The sequence below is a fragment of the Homo sapiens genome, chromosome 5, assembly GCF_000001405.40.
Source record: "Homo sapiens chromosome 5, GRCh38.p14 Primary Assembly".
In the NCBI taxonomy this organism is placed as follows: domain Eukaryota; kingdom Metazoa; phylum Chordata; class Mammalia; order Primates; family Hominidae; genus Homo; species Homo sapiens.
Window position 1 is genome coordinate 166,615,607 of NC_000005.10, and position 4,448 is coordinate 166,620,054.

Here is a 4,448-nt window from a genome sequence, read left to right on the forward strand (position 1 = left end):
AAAGACAATCAAATATAGCCAAGCTGTATAGTGAAATCATTACTTTCTGCAAATATCTTGTGATTTATTCAAAAGCTTTTGCATTATGAAGCACCAAAGAATTTGAGAGACTATCCACCATAATCCAAGAAGGTTGTGACCTCATAGATTAAATGGGATGATGAGTTTCTATTGTCACAATGACACCGCCTTAAGACACAGCCTTGGCAGTACATGCTTAACTTGATAGGATTACAGCAATGAATGGATTTACATAACATTTGAAATGTTAGTATATGATCTTTGTCAAATAAAATATTGATTTATCAGAGATTGATTTGCTGTTGAAAATATTCATTTCTAGTGTAGAATAAAATCCTGAAAAACATTCATCTTATTAATAGCTCTTACTCTCCAAATATTTTTATAGGGCATTTTCTATTTGGCCAGGCTCCACTTCCATCAATCTCTGGGCTCATAGTATATTCCAATTCCTTACTATGATAATATTCTCTTACCATTCCACCCCCTTTCCTCTCTCTCCCTGACAATTGCATTCCACAGAACAATTTAGCAAGGATGGTGATTGGCAACCTCAAAAATGATTCAGATATCTCAGGTTTTCAGATATCCATTACTAGTATAAGTGAGCTCTTATCTGATGTTCATCAAGACTGAGTAGCTTACTCATCAAAATAAGTCAAAAAAGAAAGAAAGAAATGCTTTCGATTCTCCAGTCCACCATTTCACTAGAAGGATTAATGGTGTATTTAAATTTGCAGTTTTCCAAAGATACTGTTTCATTGTTTCCTGTCCTACCACAGTGCTGAGTTTGTATTTAAATGTTTCATTTTGTGCATTTCAAGCTGTCAGCCTGAAGAAATACCAATAAGTGTGTTAGGTTTAGATAATCGAAAATTCCCTTTACTCAGCTTCTTAGTCTATATTTATCTGTCTGGCTGTGAAATCTATTCCAAGAGTATTCATCTACCACCCAAATCTATTCACCAAACATCAAGACTCATCAGTGAGATGGAATAATGCCATTTAATTAGTCTTTGATATACAGCTTAATTAGGTCTTAATAAGGGGTAGTGCATCCTAAAATCAATTATCTTGCTTTTTTTAATAAGAGCAACTAATTAGTAGGAAAATCACCACAGTTCTCTTTTTATCCTGAAGCTTTCCATGGTGCTAGGAAGAAGGTTATGAAGAAGAAAATAATACCCTCCAAACTATCTGGAAAAACTGTCATATTGAACTCAAAAGGATATATTCAAAATAGTTGCAATACGTTAGAAATATTTTACAGAAAATGCAATGCTACCAACTCAGCATCCTTGTATATTGCATCGTTTTTTAGGTCATGCAATAAAGAAAAGTCAAGTGTTATCCTATGTGTGTGTAGCTCTTCCTTTTGCATTGTTGATAGGTGTTCTAGACGTAGGTTCAATGTGACTCTGTCTACAGTGGTCAGGGTGCCACATTTACAGTGAGTCATCTGTGTTAACTGATGCCTAGTTTACTCCTTCCTTGGAAGTACTCCTATGAACAGTTGAAGACAATTACCACAAGGGTGGCTATGTGTACCAGGTCTTAGAGTTTTTCTGTTGGTATTTTGCTTGTTTCTCCCGACATAGTAGATTTTACTTACCTGTACAAAAGAACTACTTTTCATGACATTTATAAATCACTCAACAAATTCAACTTTTTCTATGAATTAGGTCCTGCTCAAGCCACTGGAATTTGGATATGTTTAAAACAGACAAGGGCCTTGCTCTCATAGAGCTAACATTTTAATGAAATGAGATAAAGGGAAATTAACACAAAGGCAAACATGTAAGACAATCTCAGAGTGGTAGGTGCTATAAATGCAATCAAGTATGGTAGCATGGTAGAGAGGGACAGGGTGCAGAAAATATATTTCAAAGGCGAAGGCAATGGAAGGGTTTCTGAGGAGGTGCATTTAGACTGAGACCAGGAGGAGGAGAAGGAGATGATCAGGGGAAGATCTAGTAGAAGAGAGAAAATAAAGGCCTTGAGTCAGGGATAAACTCGATGTTTTTGAGGAATATAAAAAATGGCAGTGTGGCTGGAAACCAGCAACAGAGGTGGGGAGGGGGAAGAAATGACGTAATGTGGTAGCTAGAAATCAAATCAGGATGAGTCTGCTGGACTATGGCAAAGAATCAGGATATTATTCAGAGTTAGGAAGAAGATGTTCACTGGGGGAATAGTGTGATTGATCTAACTTACGAATTTTCAAAACCAATATGAACATTAATTGTAGAATCTAGGTGGTGTGTACACAGGTTTTTAACTATACAATTATTTGAACTTTTCTGTATCTTTGCAAATTTTCCTAATAAAATGCTGGGGGCAAGGGAATCAATACAGCAATGGAAGTGGAATAAGTAGAAGCAGTGAGTGGTCCAAGCATTAAATAATGTTAGTTTAAATTGGAATTTTAGTAAGAGAAATAGAGACTCCCTGCCCCCAAATTTAAAAAATTCTGTTAAAATGAAAGTCAAATTATGTTGCTTCTCTGGAAAAAATTTCTAATTATTATTTTATTAAACTCTACGAGTCAAATTGGCTGGGCGTGGTGGCTCACACCTGTAATTTCAGCACTTTGGGAGGTCGAGGCAGGCACATCACTTGAGGCCAGGAATTCAAGACCAACCTGATCAACATGGTGAAATGCCATCTCTACTAAAAATACTAAAAATTAGCCAGGCAAGGTGGTGGGCGCCTGTAATCCCAGCTGCTTGGGAGGCTGACGCAAGAGAATTGCTTGAACCTGGGAGGTGGAGGTTGCAATGAGCTGAGATAGCACCATTGCACTCCGGCCTGGGCAACAGAGCCAGACTCCATCTCAAAAACAACAACAAAATGCAAAATCAAAGTTATTTCCTTGGTCTAGGGCCACCCAGTCACCTAGTGGAAGAAAAATCTATTAATAGTTGGAAATACCTCCCTTGGCAAGCCTGACAAGAGTTGGAAGAGTGCTTCATGGGGGTCAGACTGAGGCTGTGGAGTGGAGTCTGTACTCTGCTCCATTACATATGAAATGAAGCAGCTCTGCATGATCTGCCCAGCTGCATAGGACTCATTTTAATTCAGGCATGCTTAAGGATACAATAAGGAACGTGGAAGCCAGGCTCAGGCTTAGCTTAGTTCCCTTTGGGAAATTCAGTCACCTCAGCAGGTGGCCAGCTTCCAGGGAAATCCTTCAGAGAGTCGATTAATAACAGCTGCTTGACGCTAACTACTTCTCGGGAGCACATACTTCATAAAAGGGACAACAAATGAGCGACCTTTTTGAAGAGCCTAGTAATCAAGCTCAAGAAGGTATAGGTCATGGGCTTTTTGCTTGGCCTCAACACAGTCATGTAAAATTGATACTTAATAAGAACAACTCTGTGATGATAAGGGTGTCTATACCGGGGGAACAAACACATTTTGAAAAGTTTCTTTGGTACTTAAAACTCTAGGCATCCTCTCACTCTTGCTGGCCTCAGCAGGATGCAATCTAAAGAGGCACAAATACACATATGTCTTGGGCATACATCACAACTGAGGAGTCCTTACCAGAACACACTAAGTCCTTCAATAAATGTAACCTACATTTTACCTTGAATCATCTGAGATAACATGATGATCTCTCTCTCTTTTCTTTTTTTTTTTTTTTTTGAGATGGAGTCTCGCTCTGTCACCCAGGCTGGAGTGCAATGGCGCGATCTCAGCTCACTGCAACCTCCACCTCCTAGGTTCAAGCAATTATCGTGCCTCAACCTCCAGAGTAGCTGGGACTACAGGCATGCACCACCATGCCCTGCTAATTTTTGTATTTTTAGTAGAGACGGGGTTTCACCATGTTGGACAGGCTGGTCTCTAACTCCTGACCTCAGTTGATCCGCCTGTCTCAGCCTCCCAAAATGCTGGGATTATAAGCGTAAGCCACTGTGCTCGGCCACAATCTCTCTTATACAGCTTATTTGATCCTGCCTGGAAGACTCAAGGAAGCAAAAAGCCAAAAAGAGACATGTTAAGCCATAAAGGAAGAGCTCGAGTTTTAGGTGGTTATTCATAGTTCAAGAGTCTGTATCATAATGATGAGCACATGTGTTCCTGCTTCTGTCTCCTTTCTTTAATATTGCATCTTTTTGTCTTGCCTTCCCACCATAGCCATTGATCACAGAACAGCACTACTATTTAACAAGTTTAACATGCTCTGTGCCTCTTTGTTTTGCCTTTTCAATGTGTTAGTCATGGTTCTTCAAGGGAAGAATTATTCTGAAGGCCAGTGTCCCTCATGAGGCCTAGTAAATGTTTACCTTGCTTTGATAGTTAATTCTGATTCAAAGGTTGATCCTGATAGTTCAAGTCCAGGCTTAGCACCTTTGATAGCAGAAGCTGCTGCATGGGAACAGCAATAGAGCTACTATGAAAGAAACTACTTTGGAGAA

General features: G+C 39.3%; 1 annotated feature.

The window, feature by feature from the left end:
* Positions 2,892-3,438: an enhancer, noted in NCBI's record as "OCT4-NANOG hESC enhancer chr5:166045503-166046049 (GRCh37/hg19 assembly coordinates)". NCBI's record gives its function as "activates a minimal SCP1, AML or CMV promoter by ChIP-STARR-seq in primed H9 embryonic stem cells {active_cell/tissue: H9 hESC(primed)}" and the evidence as "EXISTENCE:reporter gene assay evidence [ECO:0000049][PMID:30033119]".